General features: G+C 50.0%; 4 protein-coding genes and 1 non-coding gene across 26 annotated transcripts, besides 4 other annotated features; 3 read left to right on the plus strand and 2 right to left on the minus strand.

Moving 5' to 3' along the window:
• Positions 103-4,053, plus strand: FCER1G (Fc epsilon receptor Ig). Its single transcript, NM_004106.2, has 5 exons — positions 103-178; positions 2,794-2,885; positions 3,049-3,084; positions 3,511-3,531; positions 3,689-4,053. Exons 1-5 carry the CDS (start codon positions 130-132, stop codon positions 3,749-3,751), a joined length of 261 nt encoding a protein of 86 aa, NP_004097.1. The 5' UTR covers positions 103-129; the 3' UTR covers positions 3,752-4,053.
• Positions 2,024-3,010: an enhancer, noted in NCBI's record as "H3K4me1 hESC enhancer chr1:161187006-161187992 (GRCh37/hg19 assembly coordinates)". NCBI's record gives its function as "activates a minimal SCP1, AML or CMV promoter by ChIP-STARR-seq in primed H9 embryonic stem cells {active_cell/tissue: H9 hESC(primed)}" and the evidence as "EXISTENCE:reporter gene assay evidence [ECO:0000049][PMID:30033119]".
• APOA2 (apolipoprotein A2) lies at positions 7,100-8,436 on the minus strand. Its single transcript, NM_001643.2, has 4 exons — positions 8,403-8,436; positions 8,158-8,233; positions 7,726-7,858; positions 7,100-7,330 (listed from the first exon to the last, which is right to left on the minus strand). The coding sequence occupies exons 2-4, from the start codon at positions 8,207-8,209 to the stop codon at positions 7,213-7,215; spliced, it is 303 nt and encodes a 100-aa protein (NP_001634.1). The 5' UTR covers positions 8,210-8,233; positions 8,403-8,436; the 3' UTR covers positions 7,100-7,212.
• Positions 10,274-10,383: an enhancer, noted in NCBI's record as "active region_1986". NCBI's record gives its function as "activates an Ori minimal core promoter by ATAC-STARR-seq in GM12878 lymphoblastoid cells {active_cell/tissue: GM12878}" and the evidence as "EXISTENCE:reporter gene assay evidence [ECO:0000049][PMID:35858748]".
• Positions 10,844-10,913: an enhancer, noted in NCBI's record as "active region_1987". NCBI's record gives its function as "activates an Ori minimal core promoter by ATAC-STARR-seq in GM12878 lymphoblastoid cells {active_cell/tissue: GM12878}" and the evidence as "EXISTENCE:reporter gene assay evidence [ECO:0000049][PMID:35858748]".
• Positions 10,868-15,554, plus strand: TOMM40L (translocase of outer mitochondrial membrane 40 like). Of its 6 annotated transcripts, none has more exons than NM_032174.6 (10): positions 10,868-10,944; positions 11,163-11,412; positions 11,696-11,763; positions 12,066-12,158; positions 12,444-12,545; positions 12,692-12,797; positions 12,994-13,116; positions 13,236-13,312; positions 13,523-13,625; positions 13,764-15,554. In NM_032174.6, the coding sequence occupies exons 2-10, from the start codon at positions 11,298-11,300 to the stop codon at positions 13,901-13,903; spliced, it is 927 nt and encodes a 308-aa protein (NP_115550.2). In that variant the 5' UTR covers positions 10,868-10,944; positions 11,163-11,297; the 3' UTR covers positions 13,904-15,554. The 6 variants fall into 6 exon arrangements, with proteins under 6 accessions (NP_115550.2, XP_006711635.1, NP_001273302.1 ...); XM_006711572.3 differs by having other exon boundaries at positions 11,284-11,412; NM_001286373.2 differs by lacking the exon at positions 12,444-12,545.
• On the plus strand, positions 11,994-12,069 carry MIR5187 (microRNA 5187). The gene has a single exon (NR_049819.1). It is a non-coding gene; the product is annotated as a microRNA 5187 (primary transcript).
• Positions 12,428-12,607: an enhancer, noted in NCBI's record as "active region_1988". NCBI's record gives its function as "activates an Ori minimal core promoter by ATAC-STARR-seq in GM12878 lymphoblastoid cells {active_cell/tissue: GM12878}" and the evidence as "EXISTENCE:reporter gene assay evidence [ECO:0000049][PMID:35858748]".
• On the minus strand, positions 14,477-23,011 carry NR1I3 (nuclear receptor subfamily 1 group I member 3). Of its 17 annotated transcripts, none has more exons than NM_005122.5 (9): positions 22,849-23,011; positions 21,267-21,406; positions 20,655-20,785; positions 17,977-18,146; positions 17,615-17,754; positions 16,137-16,282; positions 15,925-16,041; positions 15,621-15,726; positions 14,477-14,734 (listed from the first exon to the last, which is right to left on the minus strand). In NM_005122.5, the coding sequence occupies exons 2-9, from the start codon at positions 21,371-21,373 to the stop codon at positions 14,605-14,607; spliced, it is 1,047 nt and encodes a 348-aa protein (NP_005113.1). In that variant the 5' UTR covers positions 21,374-21,406; positions 22,849-23,011; the 3' UTR covers positions 14,477-14,604. The 17 variants fall into 17 exon arrangements, with proteins under 17 accessions (NP_005113.1, NP_001070937.1, XP_005245754.1 ...); NM_001077469.3 differs by having other exon boundaries at positions 14,477-14,580; positions 15,621-15,741; XM_005245697.5 differs by having other exon boundaries at positions 15,621-15,741.

Here is a 23,460-nt window from a genome sequence, read left to right on the forward strand (position 1 = left end):
TGTGCAGGAAGGGGAAGGGGCCAAAGCATGGGGGAAGGCGTGGCAGGAAGAGGGGGACTCTGTGGTCAGGGAACTGCTCGCTGAGCACAGCTGCACAGTGCTGTCAGAACGGCCGATCTCCAGCCCAAGATGATTCCAGCAGTGGTCTTGCTCTTACTCCTTTTGGTTGAACAAGCAGGTAAGAGGGTTTGGTGAGGGATAGCGTGAGCTGGCTCCAGGGTGGAAGTCCAGAGCTTGGGTCTGAGGGCCAAGTCAAACACAGGTGAAGGAAGGCTGACAGTGGGTAGGTGGGCATAGGGAGACCCTGAGGCTAGTCCTCTCCAGCCCCGACCCAGGGCACTAGACTCATAGTTCCCTCCTTTCTTGTTGCCTTCTTACTTCATTCCAGACTTTTCTCCGTATTATTATTATTATTTTGGAGATGGAGTCTTGCTCTGTCACCCAGGCTGGAGTGCAGTGGCGCAATCTCTACTCACTGCAACCTCTGCCTCCTGGGTTCAAGCGATTCTCCTGCCTCAGGCTCCCGAGTAGCTGGGACTACAGGTGCCCGCCACCACGCCCGGCTAAGTTAAGTATTTTTGGTAGAAACCGGGTTTCGTCATGTTGACCAGGGTAGTCTTGAACTCCTGACTCAAGTGATCCACCCACCTCGACCTCCCAAAGTGCTGGGATTACTGGTGTGAGCCACTGCACCCAGCTATTATTATTATTAAAAAAAGACAGGGTCTTACTATGTTGGCCACATCGGTCTTGAACTCCTGGCCTCAAGCAATTCTCCCACCTCGGCCTCCCAAAGTGCTACTGTGCCTGGCTGACTTTTCTCTTTTCAGGGTTGATAGAAAGTGGCAGGGGAAGGGTCTGGTTGTATGGCATGAAGAGCTGGTCTGGTGAAAAGCCTCATTTCTCATGATGAGCATTTCCCATGGGGTGCCTTTGGTCTTGTCTGCTGGGAGCTGATCTCTAGCTGGTTTAATATACAAAGCACCCTTGGTGCCTATAATTCCAGCTACTCAGAAGGCTGAGGCAGGAGAATCACTTGAACCCAGGAGGTGGAGGTTGCAGTGAGCCAAGATCGCACCACTGCACTCTAGCCTGGGGGACAGAGTGAGACTCCGTCTCAAAAAAAAAAAAAAGATTTTACATATATATCTCTATCTATCTATCTATATACACACACACACACATACACACACACACACACACACACACACACACACACATATATATATATATATAGAGAGAGAGAGAGAGAGAGAGATAACCCTTTAGGAAGGTAGGACTCTGTTCTTGTGCTTGGGAGTAAGGCAAGGATATAGCCAAGACAAACAGACGGGATTGCTGTTTCTATGGGTCATTGTTAATGCTCCATTCTGTCAGCAGTTGATAATGAGGGTGGGCAGCATGAGATCCCCAGTTCCAGAGACCTGAGCGTCAGCTGAGAAATAGAGGCAGAAATGGGAAGGTCTCTGAAGCTCTACAGCTCCAGCCACTATCTAAGAATTCTCACTCCTCGTTCACTCTGTGTTGTCTGTGCTGGATTGGTGTGTGTGTGTTGGTGGCAGCTGGGTGTTGGGGAGGAGGAGGTCAGTAAACTTCAGGGAAACTGTGGAAATTGAAAGAGAATGACTGGGGAGGAATTCCAGCAGCCTAGCTGAGAAGGTGGGAGCAAGTATTAAGTTAGCCACTGGTCTGCTGCCGTGGGATGAGGAGGGAGGAGGCCCGCTGAGGCACAAAGGAAAGCATGGGCTTTAGAGGCAGAAAACCTGCATTTGAGTTCCAGCTCTGTCACTTAACTCTGTGGCTCTGAGTGAGTTACTTAGCTTTTCCGAGCCTTGGTTTCGTCACCCATAAAATGGCGATGATGATGTTTCCCTCACAGGGTAGTTTTAAGATTTGTGCAATATCGTGTGTGTGAAAGAGTGTTGCAGAATAAAAAGTACTTGACCGATGTCAGCAATTGACTGACGTTAGTCACATGTTCCCTACTGGTCCTCTGATACGGGGTGAGAGCAGTCTCTGGAGCCCAGACTTGATTTGATTTTTTAAATTGCACAAAACTTCCCCTCTCAGAGACCCAGAGAGTGAGTAATAGGGCAGAGTAACAGGAGCTGGAATCCATATAGCTGTGGTCATTCCCCCAGCCTTGTGTTCAGGGCCAAAGGTATCTGTAAGGTCTGGGAAAAACAGACACACTTTTTTTTTTTTTTTTTTTTTTTACATATTTAAGTGTCTTGTGGTGGGACAGAAAGCAACAAGGCTGAGGCTAGGAGATGACCAATGATAGAGTAATTGCCTTCTCTCCCTTCCCCAGCTCACATCCTTCCTGTCCAGCCCTCAGCCACAGGTCACAGGACTTAGTAGAGACACTTCTGTGGTTTCTTCACTGAAATTTGCCACTACCTCTCCCTCCCACTACCCATCTTGGCTGAGGTTTTGGTTTCAGTCCAGTGGACTCAGATGGGTCCCTTGAGGTGGATAAAGTGCTCAATGGTGCCTGAAGAACCCACAGTGCTAAAAAGAAAAGGTTGGGGGCTGAGGGGGAAGGCCTCAATTATTAGTCCGTGTGAGTCCCATTTCAATAGAACCCTCAAGCTTCCTATCCTAGCCTGACCCTATGGTGTGGGAGGAGGGAAAGGTAAGGGCAGTGGAAGGCCAGAGAGAAACAGAATTTCTTCCCTTAGACGGCTCCCCTCCAGGCCCTGTCCTACCTCCCAGAGCCCCTTCCCTTCTCTCCTCTGAGTACCAGATCCTCCCTGATACCCCCGACCCCATGGGCATCCTCTATCCCCTCAGCGGCCCTGGGAGAGCCTCAGCTCTGCTATATCCTGGATGCCATCCTGTTTCTGTATGGAATTGTCCTCACCCTCCTCTACTGTCGACTGAAGGTAGCGCTGGGCAGGGTGGGGTAAGGGCTGGAAGGGGAAGTGGGAGGAGGGCAGCAGCAAGGATTCGAAGAGAAGGAATAAAAGGGGATCCTCCACAAAGTTTGGAGGGAAGGGGGATGGGCCATTAACTTACCCTTTACTGATAACCTTTCCCCCATTCCAGATCCAAGTGCGAAAGGCAGCTATAACCAGCTATGAGGTATGGACCCTCCTACACCTGGTGTGGACAACTTTTCAGACCCTCAGCCCTCCTGGGGCTCTAGCCTGGGTTTCCGGGCCTCTGGGAGGGCCTGCCTCTCAGGTGCTGATCTGCATACACCTCAGAGGCCTCCCTCCCACCTTACCTAGCCAAGCCACAAGTAAAATATTCAGCAGGTGACAGGGAAGAATCAAGCATAGAGTGATAAAGAATATGTGAGAGACTTGGATGTAGTATGTCGGGTGTATATGTGTGCTTGTAGCCATGTGGGCAAACAGGTATCCATGTCCCAGAGTGTCCATGTGAGTGCCCTCTAGCCCAAGGTGGCTGGCTGCCCACCCCCCATGCCTCCCTGGGTGGGGCAGATGCTGAGGGGCCCTGGAGAAAGTGTGGGTCTTTAATGTTTTGCTTCTTTTGTCTCTGCAGAAATCAGATGGTGTTTACACGGTAAGTGTGCCTACCTCCCCCACCCAGGAAGTCAGCAGAAGAGGGTGGGATTTTGAGCGATCTTTGGAAGGCCGGTGGGGGGAGGGGGGTCCTGTGGAGGTGGGAGGGGCCTCTGATGGACTCCAGCTCCTGATCGCCCTTTGACTCCCATCTCCAGGGCCTGAGCACCAGGAACCAGGAGACTTACGAGACTCTGAAGCATGAGAAACCACCACAGTAGCTTTAGAATAGATGCGGTCATATTCTTCTTTGGCTTCTGGTTCTTCCAGCCCTCATGGTTGGCATCACATATGCCTGCATGCCATTAACACCAGCTGGCCCTACCCCTATAATGATCCTGTGTCCTAAATTAATATACACCAGTGGTTCCTCCTCCCTGTTAAAGACTAATGCTCAGATGCTGTTTACGGATATTTATATTCTAGTCTCACTCTCTTGTCCCACCCTTCTTCTCTTCCCCATTCCCAACTCCAGCTAAAATATGGGAAGGGAGAACCCCCAATAAAACTGCCATGGACTGGACTCTATTCATTCATTCATTCATTTATCATAGATTTATTCAGTCTCTGCTAAGCACTAGATACAGCTTTTCAGTTCCAGAACTCACAGTCTAATGGACTTCAGAGCTATTTTGCTCGACTGAGGGATAAATGCTGACTATGGCTGGGGGAGGGATAAAAACCTTTGACCTGTAGGTGCTCTGAGGATGGAGCTGGAGCAGGGACTAGTGTGTTGGGAGTCTAGGCATATTTGGAAACATAAGAAATGACTTCTGTATCAGCATGGCCTTCTGTGTTCGACAATTGAACCAAGGTTGGGTTGTAGGGGAGGCTGGGTGTCCCCAGATGGCCACCAATCCAGACAGCATCAATCCAGTACATGCATATGGGAATTAGCATAGCTGAAAAGCCAAATATGCAGAACGGATGGTGTAACTAGGGCTGAGTGAAGCTCCTAATGGAAGGTTTTATAGCAACAGTGAATTTTCAGGGCATCTGGGGCAAGTGGGACCTTAGAGGGCCAGATGGGTCAGTGGTAGGTAAGGCAAAGGGAAATAAGTTGGGTCCAAATGGGGGGGTCATCTCCTTCAAGTGCATGGGTGGTGGTCAAGGCCCTGTCAATGCCTGTCCTGTTTTCAGAGCTACGAGGAATATTTGCCTGAAAGAATTTAAACCTCAGGAGATGCTGCCAGTCCTACTCGTGACCCAGTCTTTTCAGAATGGGTCTAGAGACTCCAAGCTTACCCCTGGCATAACCCCCAACCTCCACAGTGCTGCACAACACTTCACACTGCATAGTGACTTACACTTTTCAAAGTATTTTCCAGCTCATTGTACCATTTGATCTGCTAATTAACCCTGTGAGGAAATTCAGGCTCTTTGAAGTTAATTAACCTGTCCAAGGTCACCTTGCAAGGAACCGACTGAGATCACTTTCGTCTCTGCACATTTTGCCACATGAGAAGAAGCAGATATTGGGAAAGAGAAGGGGTAGTGAGTAATCATGAATGGCGAGGGTCTTGAAGGCCAGATGAAGCAGGTTGATCAATATCTGGAAGGAATTGGAGCCATCTCCGGTGTCTGGCGGGGGAAAGGTGATTTCAGATGAGATAAGAGAAATGAGCCAGGGTAGGAAAGTAACTTTTTTTTTTTTTTTTTTTTTTGAGATGGAGTCTCCCTCTATCACCAGGCTGGAGTGCAGTGGCATGATCTGGGCTCACTGCAACCTCTGCCTCCTGGGTTCAAGAGATTCTCGTGCTTCACCCTCCCGAGTAGCTAAGACTACAGGCACCACCATGCCCAGCTAATTTTTTTTGTATTTTTAGTAGAGACAGGGTTTCACTATGTTGGTCTTGATCTCTTGACCTCGTGATCTGCTCGCCTCAGCCTCCTAAAGTGCTGGGATTACAGGTGTGAGCCACCGAGCCTGACCTGGAAGTAACTCTTTTAAAGATAAAGTGGGAATAAACTTTTATTGGAAAATGTTTCATTTTCCTTTGCTCTGCCTTTTGGGATTGTAAGTCTCTCCCCATCAACCCGGACTGATTTCCATTCCATTTTCATTTAATCCAGGTATCACAGCTCCCAAAGTTTTTCTAGTCCCACATGTCCACCGAATTGGATACTTGCCAGGCCTTTAAATGGCTACCACAGCTACTACTTCCAGGCTCCAAGATGGCTACCAGGCCAGTTCTATGAATAGTGCCTGGATAGCAGTGGAGGAGAGGCTTGGAATGGGTCTTCCACAGACAGTGTCTAGATAAGAGGGTTTTTGTTGTTGTTGTTGTTGTTGGGATGGAGATTCACTCTTGGTGCCCAGGCTGGAGTGCAATGGCGTGATCTCGACTCACTGCAACCTCCACCTTCCGGGTTCAAGCGATTCTCCTGCCTCAGTCTCTTGAGTAGCTGGGATTATAGGCATGTGCCAACACTCCCAGCTAATTTTTGTATTTTTAGTAGAGACAGGGTTTCACCATGTTACCCAGGCTGGTCTCGAACTCCTGACCTCAGGTGATCTGCCTGCCTCGGCCTCCCAAAGTGCTGGGATTACAGAGGTGAGCCACTGCACCCAGCTGGTCTTTTGTTTTTAATTAAAAAAATATATATATTAGGGGGGCTCACTGTGTTTCTCAGTCTGGTCTCGAACTCCTGGCCTCAAGTGAGTCTCCCACCTCAGCCTTCCAAAGTGCTGGGGTTACAGGTGTGAGCCTTGATGCCTGGTCTAGATAAGAGGTTTTAAATGGAGAAATTAGAGCACTTCTAGGGAGAGGAGCAAACTCAAGTCTTTTATTGTGGGAAAGGGGGAAACACAGTGTTCCCCTGGCTCAGAAGGGAAAGGAGGGCCACGGGTGACACCTTGGGAAGCTTTCTTTTCTTCATAGAATGACTAACAGGAAATTATGAGGGGTACCCTCATTTTCTTTTTTTCTTTACTTTCTTTTTTTTTTTTTTTTTTTTTTTTTTTTGAGACGGAGTCTTGCTCTGTCACCTAGGCTGGAGTGCAGTGGCACGATGTCAGCTCACTGCAACCTCCGCCTCCCCGGTTCAAAAGATTCTCATGCCTCAGTCTCCCGAGTAGCTGGGATTACAGGCACGTGCCACAACACCTGGCTAATTTTTGTATTTTTAGTAGAGACGGGGTTTTACCATGTTGGCTAGGCTGGTCTGGAACTCCTGATCTCAAGTGATCCACCTACCTTGGCCTCCCAAAGTGCAGGGATTACAGGTGTGAGCCACTGCACCCCACCAGGGTACCCTCATTTTCTATGACCTCCAGAAATCGAGGGATTCAGTTTGTGAATCCTTCCTTCCTCTCCTAGTTCCTTGTGCAATGCAAAGCCTCTTTAGTGTTCACCTGCAGAGTCGTGCCCAGGCTGTAGGAGACTCTGGGTTTGGAGAATCATGGCACCCTCATCCTGTCATTTTCATCAGTTGTGTCTTCAATCCTTTCTTCACCCCTCCACACTCAAACCTCTCTCCTTCTAGAAGCAGATTTTTCCTTTTCCTTCCTCTTCTCCTCCCTTACTCCCCTACTTTTCCCAGTCCCCCAAACATACCAGGCTCAGAGCTGGATTCATTCAGCATTTATTGTAGCAAAGAGTGGGTAGGGACAGGAGCTCTAGGACTGGCCAGTGGGTGTTCTAGAGGCCAGCTGGGGTTGGAAGACAATGGTCTGGACACTTCACTGGGTGGCAGGCTGTGTTCCAAGTTCCACGAAATAGCTCAAGAAGTTAACCAGTTCCGTTCCAGCCTTCTTGATCAGGGGTGTCAGCTGCTCCTTTGACTTTTCAAAGTAAGACCTGGATAGGTGAGGGGATTAGAGTTTAATCTGAGGGACCCTAGGCACTGGCAGGGGCCTTGGTGGTGGTGGGAGGTCAGAGCAGACTGACTCAGGTCCCCAAACTCTAGTGCCTGGTCCATCGCATGGCAAAGCCCCTAGGTAGGAATAGAGTCAAGACCTTTGCTAGGTAGAGGGACAGACTCTAGAGACTGAAATTCAAGGCCCAGTTCTTGCTGTTCCTCTCTATCTAAGAGACGTGTGGGATCTTTGGGTGATGAAATACTTTTTCTCTGCAATTTAAGCCTAATCTGCCCTAATCCCCACCCCTGGGTTCAGACTTCTGTGGGACCTCTCATCTTCCCTTCTTTCTCTCCACAGTTCCACAGCCCCTGAACCCCTTGCCCTGAGACTTACTTGGCCTCGGCCTGAAGCTCTGGGCTCTTGACCTTCTCCATCAGGTCCTTGCCATAGTCAGTCACGGTCTGGAAGTACTGAGAAACCAGGCTCTCCACACATGGCTCCTTTGCCTGTCTCCGAACCAAAGCTCCTGCCCACACACACACACACACACACACACACACACACACACACTCTTTTCAGCTGGGTCCACAGCAGTGAATCCTGGCCTCCTGCCATACCTCTGCCAGTACCCACCCCAGCTCTCTGCCCCCTCCCCAAAAAGGTATCCAGCCAGATCTTTGGATGGGCTTTCTGGGCTTTAGAGAGGGAATGATCTTCCTTTTGAGCCCTTTGGTTGCCAGACCTGGATATAAGAGCACAGGCAGATAGGTAGCTATAACCACCAGCACATTCTCCCTTTTGGCCCCCTCTCCATATCACACCCACCTTCAAGGCTGCAGATGGTGAGGAGTAGCACAGTTGCTGCGAGCAGCTTCATGTTGGTAACAGTGGGGAGGGCGGCCTAGGAAGAGGGTGGTGGGGGTTTGGGGGACACTGAAGCCAAATGGGCTTCAGCTCCTCCCCAGGGATCTCCCTACCTGCTGCCCATTCCAACCTGGCTCTCTCCCTCTCCACAACTGAAGCCCAGGCCTCTTTGGATGCTGCTCACACATCTTGCCTCCTTATCTTACCTAGCCAGCGTCTCTGTCCTTGGTGTCTGTGCCTGCCCTGGCTGGAGAGGAAGGGGCTATATACCTGTCTGTTTACCCACCCCCTGTCAGGTGACAGGGACTATGGATGGGCCCAGTGGGGCAGGGATTATGTGAGGATAAACAAGTTGGAGAAATGGGGGAGGAGAGGACAAGCACATGGAAGACTCATGGTGATGGGGTGAGAGGCAGGGGGTACAGCTCTTAGTGGAGGCTAAGGGGGTACACTTCAGGTATATTTGAGGTTCATTCTTTTGAGATCTGAGGTCCTTGGACTTGAGTGCAACAGGAAGCAGGATTCCAAGTTATTTCTCTGGAAAGCTCTGACATATCAACCCATGGAATACCATCAACCCATCATACCATGGAAAGCTCATGGTGTCTTTATTCCATTATGGGTAGATCTCATCTCTCAACCTTATCCCACTTTACTGCAACTTGGCAGAGAGATATTGGGGAGCAGAAGAAAGGAGAAAGGAATTGAAATCAGGGACAGGGTTGAGGGCTATGGGGGTTAGGGGAATGAGGGTCGGGTAAGAGGGCAAGTGTAAATGATCTTGTCCGTTTTTGAGTTAATGTGTAATGAGACGGGGAGAAAACAGGAGAGCCCAGAATGACCTGGATGCTGATCACTGAACATACCCTACCCCCAGTAAAACAAATTCAGAAAACAGCTTCCGCCCGTCCCCTCCCAATGGAGGGCTCTGGCAGGAAAAGAGGTGAATAAGAGGCTTCTACCAGGGTAAAGGTTGAAGGCACCTGGTCATTTGATCACCTTATCAGTTCTAGGCAGTGATTAGCCAATATTGAGTCAGCAGGGGCAATAGCCCTGGCCCTTGTCTCACTCCTGTTGGGGGTGGGGGAGGGGGAGAGGTACATTCCCAGGTTCAAAGCATTTGGGTGAAATCAGTTAAATAGATATCAGAAGCTTTTGTATCTTTCACCCTTTTGCCCCCCAAGCATACTCGCTGAGTATGTGGAACATTCCTGAGGGTGACAGTGGAGGCGCAAAGCTGATGAGGGAGGTAGTGACCAGAGACCAAGAAATCTTTGTTTTTTAACTTTTGTTTTAAATTCAGAAGTATATGTGCAGGTTTTTTTGTTTGTTTTCCTGAGACGGAGTTTTGCTCTTGTTGCTCAGGCTGGAGCGTAATGGCATGATCTCGGCTCACTGCAACCTCCACCTCCCGGGTTCAAGGATTCTCCTGCCTCAGCATCCCAAGTAGCTGGGATTACAGACATGCGCCACCACGCCCGGGTAATTTTGTACTTTTAGTAGAGACGGGGTTTCCCCATGTTGGTCAGGCTGGTCTTGAACTCCCGACCTCAGGTGATCTGCCCGCCTCGGCCTCCCAAAGTGCTAGGATTACAGGCATCAGCCACCGCCCCTGGCCTATATATGCAAGTTTGTTACACACGTAAACTTGTGTCATGGGGATTTGTTGTACAGATTATTTCATCACCCAGGTATTAAGCCTAATATCCATTAGTTATTTTTCCTGATCTTCTCCCTCCTCCCACCCTTCACCCTCCAAGACCAAGAACTCTTACTCCATTTTCAATTATTCCCCTGTGGAGCGCTTAGTGCTTGAGGTCAGCCCTTTGGCTTGTCCCTGGTCCTGGGATGGAGTGCCTTTGGGGGCCAGGCTCCATATTCCTAGATTTTATTTGCCAACTCTGCCTTGGGACTCAGGGAAGGAAGGGTTAAATACAGAAAGCAGCTGTTTCAGCGAATAGTTCTGCTAGAACTTACTCCTCTGCGCCAAACTCTCACACCCGTTTCCATTCCACCAAGTGGTCAAGAGCGGGGACTTCGAGAGATGTAGACCTCCAGAAGAGAAGGGTGGGTCCCTGTTCTAGGGAGTGCTGCGCTTAATGAGTAGTACTCATTTGGAGGTGTGCTGTGGAGGGCTGTGAGGAGGATTTCCCATGGGTTCTTTGGAGAGAAGGGAGCGATAGAAATGAACCAGGGTTCCAAAGAAGTCTTCATAATCGTTCTTTCTGCCACCCTTCACACTATGCCAGTCTACAAGCTGTAGTTCCACTTTTCTCATGGATGAAACTACATGGGTGGAAGGAGCTTCAGTGGCCCAAGCTACAAGATGCTCCCTCTAGTGTCTTGTACGCTCACAAGTTTTTTTCCGACCTTGGAGAGGCCTAGTGATCTAAAGCCTTCCACTTAAGTCTAAGGGGCCACCAATCAAGTCCTGCCCGCCTCTGCAGCTCCAGGGTTGAAGCTCTTGGGCCGTCAGACCTGCCACTCATTTTCTTCCTCCCTTCCCATTGGCCCATGGTAAATAGCGAGGCTTTTTTTTTTTTTTTTTTTTTTCATTGATTGGGCGGGGCCCAATCAGGGTTGGGTTGGGTCTTTGACAGCTTTCTTTGCCAGATTCAAAGATGGCGCTTACGGCCACGCTAAGAATGCAGCGTGAAGCTGCAGTTCTGCCATCACTCAAGATGGCTGCCCCCATCAAGATGACCGGGGTGTGCCGGGGGGAAAGGGGCAGCATGATGGTCTGAGATGGTAAGGGATACTGCACCATTGCGGGCCTGGTCTTGGGGCCTGGGAATGAAGAATAGAGAGGCTAGGGAGCTAGGTGAAGTCTGTGGTGGGGGCTAGGATCAGAGAAAGGGAGAGAGGACAAGGGTGACAAGTGGGGGTGAGAGATCAAAGATGGGGCGGGAGTGTGCCTAGGGTTGTCTCTCCATGAGTGCTCTCCTTCCCTACTCTTCCTGTTCCAGGTGTAGCGTCGGACCATGTGGAAGTTTCTGAGGCTGGGGAGCCGGATAATGGGGGGTGGGGCCCGTTGGGGGGTAAAGGGGCAATAGCGTCCTTTCACAGGCTAACCTCGGCTCTTCCCAGTCCTCTGGACTAAAATGGGGAACACATTGGGCCTGGCACCAATGGGGACTTTGCCCCGCCGGAGCCCCCGCCGAGAGGAACCCCTGCCCAACCCTGGGAGCTTCGATGAGCTGCACCGTCTATGCAAAGGTGAGAACTTGGCACTTGGGTGTCTCAGGATGAAGGGGCAGAGGAGTGGAGGGTCTTGAATGCCGGATGTCCGGCGATGGGAGCAGGAAAGGGGAGATCATAGCTGGGTCATGCAGCCTCAGGGAGGATCAGGTGCCCAAATGAAGTGGAGCATTTCATTGCAGGACTTGAAAGGAGGTTAATTCCTCCAAAGTGTTCCCTATGGGATTGAAAGGGGAGACTATCTTTTGGGGTAGGGGTTCTTTGTCTGTGCTTATTCCTTCCCTTCCCCTACCCCCTTCAGATGTATTCCCAGCACAGATGGAGGGAGTGAAGCTCGTTGTCAACAAGGTTCTGAGCAGCCATTTCCAGGTGCTCCCACTTCTCTGGCCCCTCCTTACTATTCCCCCTTTCCTGTCCCTGGATCATCTTCTCCTTTCCTTTGTACTCCAGCCCTAGCCAGTCTATGTGGGACAAATGAGGGAGGATGTGGGGTTCTCTTTACCTCCGTGCCTGTGGGACTTGTTGCTTTTAATCCGATGACCTTCTCTGTATATGTTGGAATATTTAGGATTCTTGAGAGGCCCTCTGGATGGGGAAAAGACTAAGGGTGGGATGAGGGATTGAAGTGGAGCAGGAATGCGCTTTTCTCCACTGAATCCTCTTTTCCTCAGGTGGCGCACACTATACACATGAGTGCCCTGGGCTTGCCGGGATATCACCTCCATGCGGCCTATGCAGGGGATTGGCAGCTCAGTCCCACTGAGGTGAGGGCTCCACACACCTGGGTCATCTCCCTAAAAACCAATCTGGGACCCAGGTCTGGAGGAAGAGGAATTGTGTGTGTTATGGGGAGGAATGGGCCGTAACCTGATTCTCTGTGTCTTTTCTGAATGAGAGAGGGTAGAGAAACATTTTCTGTGAAGAGCCCAGAGTGTGTCTTTGTGACTCCACCAGGGGGCGCTGTGCACTCTTAATGAAGTTCTATATTTGGGTTTAGGCTGAGTGGTGCCATCCGGCTCAGCCTTACTACTGTGTACACCCTTCCACAGGTGTTCCCCACTGTGGTAGGGGATATGGACAGCAGTGGCAGCCTGAACGCCCAGGTCTTGCTCCTCTTGGCAGAGCGGCTCCGAGCTAAGGCTGTCTTCCAGGTGACCACAGTTCCTGCCTCCATCCCCTGAGGCACTTCCTCTTTCTCCTCCACGGGTTTCCTGCTCTGAGGGCTTGGAAGGAGGAGCAGAGTCTATAATGATCATAAAGAGGGAGGGAGATTTTACTTCTTGCTCTTGCCACCCAGACGCAGCAGGCCAAGTTCCTGACATGGCAGTTTGATGGCGAGTATCGGGGAGATGACTACACAGCCACTCTGACCCTAGGAAATCCTGACCTGATTGGGGAGTCGGGTGAGGAACTGGGACAGGGTTCTTTTTATCTTGGCGGCCCATTTGCTAATGTTACTATGCCTCTTCATCTTCTGTACAGTTTGGAGTTTAGAAAAGGAACTTCTTGGGCAGGCTGGGGTGGCGGTTATTGGGAGTGAGGGAGCAGGTCTGGATATTGTCTCTATGACTGACTCCATGTCTCCCCATTCCCCCACAGTGATCATGGTTGCTCACTTCCTGCAGAGCCTCACTCATCGGCTGGTGCTGGGAGGAGAGCTAGTTTATCACCGGCGGCCAGGCGAAGAGGGGGCCATCTTGACACTGGCTGGGAAGTACTCGGGTATGGGGCGAAGTGAAGTAGTGGTGGTGGTGGGGGGCAATTCTGGACTTTTCTGGGGTTCCTGGCCTGTGTCATACTACAGTTAACACTCCTTCCCCTCTGTACTTTGGATTTTACAGCTGTACACTGGGTAGCTACATTGAATGTGGGATCAGGCGGGGCCCATGCAAGTTACTACCACAGGGCAAATGAACAGGTGAGACCTCTGATCTCATTCCCTCCTTGTCAGCAAGTCAGTCATGAACTTCTGTTCATCTGGACCTCTATCGCCCTGCTGACCTATTTTTCTTCCTACCACGCTGTGTATATATTTACATGCATGCCTCCATTCTGCTGATTCCCCATCAGGACCCTTCTGGTCTTCACTGATACTGATCTCTCTCTCATCCTTGCCCATGGTTCTCAGGTTCAGGTTGGAGTGGAGTTTGAGGCAAACACAAGGCTACAAGACACAACATTCTCCTTTGGTTACCACCTGACTCTGCCCCAGGCCAACATGGTATTTAGAGGTGAGGGTTATTGGGAGACATTTGGCTATCCTGAGGAATGGGGGATGCAGAGGAGGGAGGGAAGCTCGACCTTACTTCTGGTGACTATTTCCTCCAATCCCTGTTAAATAATCTAGTGGGTATTCTCTCCCCCAACAGGCTTGGTGGATAGTAACTGGTGTGTAGGTGCTGTGCTGGAGAAGAAGATGCCCCCTCTGCCTGTCACCCTAGCCCTTGGAGCCTTCCTCAATCACTGGCGCAACAGATTCCATTGTGGCTTCAGCATCACTGTGGGCTGAGGTTGTCCAGAGCCAGCCCCCACAGCAGCTGGAACCTCTGAGTCAGGTGCCCTAGGGCCAAAGACTAGGCCCCTCTTCAGAGCCCACCTTGCTGGGTGATCTCTAGGACCCAGGAGCAGAGTGGTGGACAGGACCATGCCCTCCTCAGAACTGGAGCTGCCACAGGGGCAGTTGATGAGGCAGAGGTTTGAGGATCCCCCCTCTGCTACCAGCCCCAGTATCACCTTCCCCATGCTCTTGTGGCTGTGGACTAAGGGAGAAGGATTAAGGGGTATGGCTGAATTCCCCCGGCACCCCTTGCCCTCAGGCTTCCTTCTTCCTTTCCCTTTGGTTAATCCTGCATGGGATTAGCTGACCATCCTGTTTTCCATCCCAGAGCCTCCCAAGGCTGGGAAAGTAGGGCTGAAGGGCTAGATGTTTGGTCTCAGGAAGTGGGGCCCACCCATTCCCAGAAGGAGCTTCTTTACCTCTTAGCCCTGAGGTTTCCTCCTTCCCATCTTCTGTGCTTCCAGAGAACAACTTTGTTCCTATGGTCACCCCCACTATCCCCATGACCGCATGAAGAGGCAGTTATTGCTTTAGTCTTTCATTGCAACCACTGGGCTCCCTTTGAACCCGGCCCAATCTTTGGTCCCAGCATTTTCCCACTCCAGTGTATCCAGGGTGTTCCAGGTGAGCTGGGGAAGGAAGTGAGCATGGCCTCAGCTGCAGATCTCCTGGAGCAGCGGCATCATGGCAGACAGGCCCTGGATGTGCTGGATTTGGTACCCGTAGGCCTCATTAATGCTCCGGAGCTCAGCCAGCAGGCCTAGCAACTTCGCATACAGAAACCTTTGGAGGAAGTAGTGGGGTTGCCAGGAAAACAGGAGGGAAATAAGGCAGTTGGGAGTCTTGTCTCTAGGCCCTGATCCCCTGAACTATTCCTCAGTGAAGCCAGGTCTGAACATTAGAGAAAATCATGCTCTGGTATGACAGACTATCAGAGGTTCCAAAGGTCCTCCAGGGGGCCTCGGTCTGACACTGTCTTCTCTCACCATGCTCAGTTTTTTCTGAACCCAGAGCTCTGAGAGCCGAGTGTGAAGAAAGCTCCAGACTTGGCCAGAACTCCAACCATGTGGAATCTGAGGGCCTGGCCTTCTAGAGCAGGTTCTAGAAGGTGGATGTGTTCTATGGTATAAAGCATCCCCTTTCTGGCCAAACTAGCTCTTGGAGGAACGAGCAAAACAGAAGCGGTGCATACCTCAGAGCCTGGATAAATCACAGACTATTGAACCTGGAACTGGCTTTGACCATGAAACTGTGAATGGCCCTAACTTCAAGGGAAATGAGAAATCGAAGGAATTGGCCCAATGGCGAGGAGAGGAAAGGCCAAGGGAAGAGAAAAGTCTGCGTTAGTCTGGAGAAGTTGGACTAGTGAGGTAATGGATGTCATCAATCTCAGGAATGCTATTACCCAGAGCCTCTGAGCTACTACTTTGCATCTGTACTGAATAAAAAAAAAATCTGGAAAAAGTGAGATGAAACAGCAGTATCCAAATACAGCAATTTGGATGCTGAAACGATGTGAGACAGGGATGGCCAGGGGGAAGGACTAGACCCCACGATACCTGAATTCCCTAAGGAAAGGACAGTAAAAAAACATTCCTCCCAAGCTCAATGTTTCACCAACCCCTTCCTGCCCTGGTGTGGCCTCCAAGCCCTCAGTGTCCCACCGTACCGATCCCGGGGCCTTCGCTGCTGGCCCTTGATGTAGCTTTGCAGAGTCAGTGCCATCTCCTCTTGCAGCTGATCAATCTCATCTCTCTGGGTAACTCCAGGTCGGTCTGTAAGATAGGGAGCTGGGAAGGACAAGTTGGGTGGCAGGGGTGGGCCTGCGTGGTGCCCCGGGGACTGAGGCTGGGATAGACCTAGTCTGCAGGTTTGATAGCTAGGCTAGAAGGCCTGGGTGGATGGACTCAAGGAGCTGAGTATTTGGGCAGAGGTGGTGCAGCAAAAGGCTCTGGGCTTTGGGAGGTGCTCACCAGGAGAGAAGAGGGCCATGGCAGCCAAGAGCACATACTCAGGCTCTTGGAGCTGCAGTTTTCGTAGTGTTCCATGGAAGTGAAAGAGCAACTCCAAAAACTCTACCTGGAACCCCACTGTGGGAGATACTAGGATTAGGAGCCTCTAGGTCACCTGACCACATCCTGTACCATGAGGACACATGCCCCCTATTGCTCTAGCACCATCTCACCACGGGCTCCATCTTCAATTGTGTAGCGAAGAGGCCCGCAGAGGAAGTTTTGTGTTTGGAGACAGAAAGTGGTATTGAGTACGATGTGACAGATTTCCACAGCTGCTCCCTTGAGAAGGGAGATCTGGTCTTCAATGGGCAGGGAACTGTGGAAAGCAGGAAACAAGGACACTTTTCAATTTTTTTTTTTCTGAGACAGAGTCTCACTGTCACCCTGGCTGGAGTGCAGTGGCGTGATCTCTGCTCACTGTAACCTCTGCCTCCTGGGTTCAAGCAATTCTCCTGCCTCAGCCTCCCAAGTAGCTTGGATTACAGGCGTGTGCCACCATGCCTGGCTGATTTTTTGTATTTTTAGTAGAGACGGGTTTTCACCATGTTGGCCAGGCTGGTCTCCAACTACTGACCTCAGGTGATCCACCTGCCTTGACCTCTCAAAGTGCTGGGATTACAGGCATGAGCCACTGCACCCGGCCCACTTTTTAATTTTTTGTTTGTTTATATGTTTTTATTTTTTGTAAAGATGGAGTCTTACTATGTTGCCCAGGGTGGTCTCGAACTCCTAGGCTCAAGCAGTCCTCCTGCCTTGGCCTTCCAAAGTGCTGGGATTATAGGTGTGAGCCACTGTGCCCAGCCGACAAGGGCACCTTATTATTATTCTTATTAATTAATTTATTTTTGAGACAGAGTGTTGCTCTGTCACCCAGGCTGGATGTAGTGGCCTGATCTCGGCTACAGCAAACCTCCGCCTCCTGGGTTCAAGTGATTCTTCTGCCTCAGCCTCCTGAGAAGCTGGGATTATAGGCGCCCACCACCACACCCAGCTAAGTTTTGTATTTTTAGTAGAGACGGATTTCACCATGTTGGCCAGGCTGGTCTCAAATTCCTGAGCTCAAGTGATCCACCCACCTTGGCCTCTCAAAGTGCTGGGATTACAGGCATGAGCCACCGTGCCTGGCCTATTATTATTATTTTTAGCTTTCATTTTTTGAGACAGAGTCTCACTCTGTCACCCAGGCTGGAATGCAGCGGTGCTATCTGAGCTCACTGCAGCCTCAACCTCCTGGGCTCAAGTGATCCTCCCACTTCAGCTTCCTGAGTACCTGGGACTACAGGCACCCACCATCATGCCCAGCTAATTTTTGTATTTTTTGTAGAGTTGGGGTTTTGTCATGTTGCTGAGGCTGGTCTCAAACTTCTGGACTCAAGCGATCTGCCAGCCTCCGCCTCCCAAAGTGCTGGGATTACTAGTGTGAGCCACTGCGCGGCACCTCAAGGGCACTTTAGATGCAAGCCTGTACTTCAGAGATGGAGAAGAACTCCCAGTTCTGATTGGCACATTTAAAACCAAAGCTGGGAATTCAAGACCTAATGCTTGGAAAGGCTGACGCATGTGATAATTTGTAGTCAGTGACTTTTCGGGGTGGATATACAATTTACTGAAGTGTTTGCCTCCTGAAAGATGAGGGGAGGTCACTCACCGGAAGACGGGCAGGTCCTTAGTAAACTTGATGACTTGCAGTACCATGAAAGTGTTGATGTCTGCGAAGTGTGTGACCAGAGGCAGCACAGGGGCCAGGGTGGGCAAGGGCTGGTGATGGATGAACAGATGAGCTGGAGGCTGCAATGATCAGAACATTAGCTAGAGGCTCTGGCCCTAGGGCCCTCCTTTAGGCCTCGCCAGCCTTATCTTGGAAGAGTTCCTTGCTGAGAAGCCTGCTCAGGCTGGGGTTCTGGAGATCTGTTCTCAGTATCAGTGCATGGCATACACCCCTCTCCTTCAGACCAGCATTTTTGGGTGCCCTTTTAGTTGTATTCCAACCCAAATCCTGTCGGTGCTCACCCTAAACTGCACAAACTGTTCAAACATGGTGCCCATGTGGCGGGTGTGGGCCCCCAGGAGTGTCCGGATCAGCTCTTCTTGCTCCTTACTCAGTTGCACAGGTGTTTGCTGTGCCCGCCGCTGGGCCTGCTTTGCTCGCCGCAATGCCAGGGCTTCTGCCGACAGTATCACTGTGCCAGGCAAGAGATCATGACAAAGCTGTTGAGACCAGCAGAGCATTTCTCTCTGCTGGTCCCTGATCTGGGGCCCCTCAGCTGCCCTGCACAACGAAGGATGGGGGCAGTGGGGGGAATTCCTGAGACTTTCTTGGGCTTGGCTAAAGTCCTAGAGGCTCCAGGAGGCAGGGGGCTCCTATACACTTCCACCAACCTGTGAAGAACTGCAGCAGAAAACTGCACTGTGGGGGAGAAGGGAAGGGTGGCGAGGAAAGTATGAAAGATGTGAGGAAAGGTGCGAGGGCTTTTGGGGAAACAGTGTAGAGGGAGGGGTCTTCATACCTAGAACATCACTTTATATGATGTTTTCAAATAATCCTTCAAAAATAATCAAATAATCCTTTCAAATAAACCTTTATCTGATGTTTTAGCAAAATTTCAAAACTTCTGAGGTTAAATCCCACTGAATGAAACAACCCCAGGATAGGCAGGGCTGGTATTCATCATATATATATGTGTGTGTGTGTGTGTGTGTGTGTGTGTGTGTGTGTGTGTGTGTGTGTGTATATGTGTGTGTATATATATGTGTATATATGTATATATATGTGTATACATGTATATATGTGTATATATGTGTATATATATGTGTATATATATATTTTTTTGTTTGTTTTGTTTTGTTTTGAGATGGAGTCTGTCACTCTGTCGCCCAGGCTGGAGTGCAATGGAGCAATCTCGGCTCACTGCAACCTCTGCCCCCTGGGTTCAAGCAATTCTCCCTGCCTCAGCCTCCTGACTAGCTGGGATTACAGGCACCCACCATCACGCCCTGCTAATTTTTTTTTTTTTTTGTATTTTTAGTAGAGACGGGGTTTCACCATGTTGGCCAGGCTGGTCTCGAACTCCTGACCTCAAGTGATCCACTCACCTCGGCCTCCCAAAGTGCTGGGATTACAGGCGTGAGCCACTGCACCCAGCCCAATCACATTTTTTAGAAATGTGGACAGGCTTAGATTCTGGTGACAGAACCAAGGTCACAAAATAAGTAATATAGATTGAATTCAAACCAAAATCTTTTGACTTCTGCAAAAGATCCAAGATCAAACCAAGATCTTGAATTCAGACCAAGATCCTTTGACTTCTACAGTTTCCTTTCATTCTTCCATAGTGAGAATCGTGTGATATGGAAAAAGCAAGAGTTTGGGAGTCAGGTAAACTTGAGTTTGAATACTGACTGTACAACTTCTTCTTCCTTCTTCTTTTCCTAGAGAGGACATCTCACTCTGTTGACCAGGCTGGTCTTGAATTCCTGACCTCAACAATCCTCTTGTCTCAGCCTTCCAAAGTGCTGGGATTAGAGGTGTGAGCCACCGTGCTCGGCCTGCACAAGTTTTTAGTTGAATTAACTTGGGCAAATTAACTTCCGTGAGCCCCAGTTACATCCTCCTTTGGGAGCATAGCACAGTTACCTGGCACAGAGAAAGCATTAATTAAGTTATTGAGCACCTACTAGGTGACAGGCACTATACTCAACAGATAGAAAATAAAAAACACACCTGTAATCTGAGCACTTTGGGAGGCGGAGGTGGGCAGATCGCCTGAGGCCAGGAGTTTGAGACCAGCGTGGTCAACATGGTGAAAGCTCATCTCTACTAAAAATACAAAAAATTAGCTGGGTGTGGTGGCACATGCCTGTAATCCCAGCTATGCAGGAGGCTGAGGCAGGAGAATCACTTGAACGCAGGAGGCGGAGGTTGCAGTGAGCCGAGATGGCGCCACTGCACTCCAGCCTGGGCAACAGAGTATGAGACTCTATCAAAAAAAATAGAAAGAAAAGAAAAGACAAGACTAGCCATGTGGCTATCTAGGAGAAAAGCATTTCAGGTAGAGGAAATGGCAAGTGGAAAAGCCTTGGGGAAGAGTGCGCTTGGTGTTTTTTTTTTTTTTTTTTTTTTTTTTGAGTCGGAATCTGGCTCTGTCACCCAGGCTGGAGTGCAGTGGCGCGATCTCGGCTCACTGCAAGCTCCGCCTCCCGGGTTCACGCCATTCTCCTGCCTCAGCCTCCCGAGTAGCTGGGACTACAGGCGCCCGCCACTACGGCCGGCTAATTTTTTTTGTATTTTTTTAGTAGAGACGGGGTTTCACTGTGTTAGCCAGAATGGTCTCGATCTCCTGACCTCGTGATCCGCCTGCCTCGGCCTCCCAAAGTGCTGGGATTACAGGCGTGAGCCACCGCGCCCGGCCTGGTGTTTCTAAGAATGACAGTGAAGTCAGTGTGGCTAGAATTGGTTGAGTAAAGGGGGAAGAGTATGAAATAAAGTCTGAAAGGTGTTGTGGGAGAGCTAGATCATGAGATCACGTACTTTGAGATGGGGAGCCATTGGATGTCTTGAGTGAATAGTGACATAATCCAACTAGTTTCAAAAAGAGTACTGTGCCTGCTATGTAGAGAATGCACTGTTGGGAACAAGGACAAAGACAGACGCAGTCAATGGATTCTTGAGATGTAGGGGGCCAACTCACTGTCTTTCCTCATGCCAGCATCTAAGCACTTCTGCAACCTGCAGGCTGGGCAGTGGCGCCTCTGAGTCTTGCTGACTTCACAGCTTCCAGCAAAGGGGCAGGTGGGACCAATGCTTTTGCTGACTGTTCTCCTGTGAGACACAGAGATGTTGTTAGAGTCTGGGATGCAATGGATAGGTGAGGGGCTGAGATGACATGGTCTAAAAGACCTGGGAATCTGGTGAAATGGACTAATCTGAGCTGTGCCCAAAGGTCCCCAGGGGTGGATAGTATCCAACACATCTCAAGCATTTCCATGGCAACACAGGATCACTCCAGAAAGCCTAGTTGATGTAGTACTAGCTAGGTGCTTCACAGGCAGTGGGTACATAATAAATGCTCTTGACTAATGGGCTGTGTCCATCAGACAAACATTCAGCTTTCCCTCTGTTATGCCACCAGTTTATACAGTGATGTGTTTGGCAAGATGTAGGATGCCAGCCACAGGGTAGTTAGACTCTAAGATAAAGGAGTAATGTAGCTGGACAGGCTTGGGCACCAGCGAGGGTGTAAAGGCTGACTAATAGGGAGTTTGGTTTGGAGGGCTATTTCCATTGGGGAGGAGACTCTCACCTGAAGAAACCCTTGCAGCCCTCACAAGTCAGCGCATTAAAGTGGTAGCCTGTGGCTTGGTCCCCACATACCACACAGTTCCTCAGCTCATCTTCCCTACTGGCCATGACGTCACGTGTTGGGGTGGCTGTCACAGACTCCTGAATGTAGGAGGGGTCAGCAGTCAGTTTTGGGCCACCCTTGACCCTTTTCTGTCCCTTCTAGAGAGTCTCTTTCCAAACCAAACCAAACATGCCCTTGACTTGATCCCTGGCGTTATCTTTTGTGGTTTTCTTTTTCTTTTTCTTTTTCTTTTTTTTCTGACACAAGTTCTTGCTCTGTCACCTAGGCTAGATCTCTGCTCATTGCAACCTCTGCCTCCTGGGCTCAAGCAATCCTCCACTTCAGCCTCCTGAGTAGCAGGGACTACAGGTCCAGACCACCATGTCCAGCTAATTTTTGTTTATTTATTTATTTATTTTTTTTGTAGAGATGGGGTTTTGCCATGTTGCCCAGGTTGGTTTTTTTGTTTATTTTTTTTTGTTTATTTGTTTGTTCTGTTTTTTGAGATAGAGTCTTACTCTGTTGCCTAGTGTTGCCTAGGCTGGAGTGCATCATAGTTCAATGTAACCTCACACTCCTGGGCTCAAGGGATCCTCCTGCCTCAACCTCCTGAGTAGCTGGAACTATAGGTACACACCACCACACCAGGATATTTTTTTCTTTTCCTTCCTTCCTTCCTCCCTCCCTCTCTTATTCCTTTCTTTCCTTTTTTTTTTTTTCCCTGAAATTGAGTCTTGCTCTGTCACCCAGGCTGGAGGGCAGTGGTGCAATCTTGGCTCGCTACAACCTCCGCCTCCCAGATTCAAGTGATTCTCATGCCTCCGCCTCCTGAGTAGCTGGGATTAAGGTGCCCGCCACCATGCCCAGCTAATTTTTTATTTTTAGTAGAGATGGGGTTTCACCATATTGGCCAGGCTGGTTTCAAATTCCTGACTTAGGCCTGGTGCAGTGTCTCATGCCTGTAATTCCAGCACTTTGGGAGGCCGAGGTGGGCGGATCACCAGGTCATGAGATCGAGACCATCCTGGCCATCATGGTGAAACCCCGTCTCTACTAAAAATACAAAAATTAGCTGGGCATCGTGGCATGTGCCTGTAGTCCCAGCTATTTGGGAGGCTGAGGCAGGAGAATCGCTTCAACCTGGGAGGCAGAGGTTGCAGCGAGCCGAGATTGCGCCACTGCACTCCAGCTTGGGCGACAGAGCGAGACTCCATCTCAAAAAAAACCCAAAAAAACAAAACAAAAAACAAAAAAACAAAAAAACAAATTCCTGACTTCAAGTGATCAATCCTCCCACCTTGGCTTCCCAAAGTGCTGGGATTACAGGCATGAGCTCCCGCGCCTGGCCTCTTTTCTTTCTTTTTTGTAGAGATGGGGTCTGTTATGTAACCCAGGTTGGTCTTGAACTCCTGGGCTCAAGCGATCCCCCCACCTTGGCCTCCCAAAGTGCTGGAATGACACACGTGAGCCACTATGCCTAGCCCCCAGCATTATCTGTATTTTATTACATTTAGTCTTTGGTCCCCAACAGATTTCCTACCTGCTTCTCTTAGGCAGCATGTCACCTGCAGGCCACAGAATCTGGTATGGAATGCCTCTCCCCAAACTCCCACGCTGTTGCTGGTTTTCCTCTGATCTCAGGAGTTGCCAGTGATTGGAGTTAGGGATTATGACCCGTAGTATCTGGAAAACAAGAGATGTCTGTTTTATGTGGCCTCCAGTTGCTCTCAGTGACTGTGGGGTTAGGGCACAGACCCTGGACTCAGGGCAAAGGCCTGGGTGGGAGGTTTTCCCAGCATGACAAAAGTGCTGGTTGGTGGCACACGGGGAGGGACTCCAGTGGGTGGGAACCTTGTGACTCATTGGAAGCTGCTGCTTATTAGACTCATCGAGATTTTCCCTGTTGATGAGTTTAAGGCTACATCTGCAGCCTTCTGTGTACAGAGATCCTGAACAAGCTGGGAAGAGAGAGAGAGAGAGAGAGACAGGCAGACAGACAGAGCAAGCTTTTTCACACGCAGTATGTCAGTACTAAAAGAAGAGGTGTGACAGTTCCACAAGGCTCCCCCAAAAAAAGTTTTTAAGAGACTAGGGGCTGGGCACGGTGGCTCACACCTGTAATCCCAGAACTTTGGGAGGCTGAGGCAGGCAG

The sequence above is a fragment of the Homo sapiens genome, chromosome 1 (genome assembly GCF_000001405.40).
Source record: "Homo sapiens chromosome 1, GRCh38.p14 Primary Assembly".
NCBI lineage: Eukaryota > Metazoa > Chordata > Mammalia > Primates > Hominidae > Homo > Homo sapiens.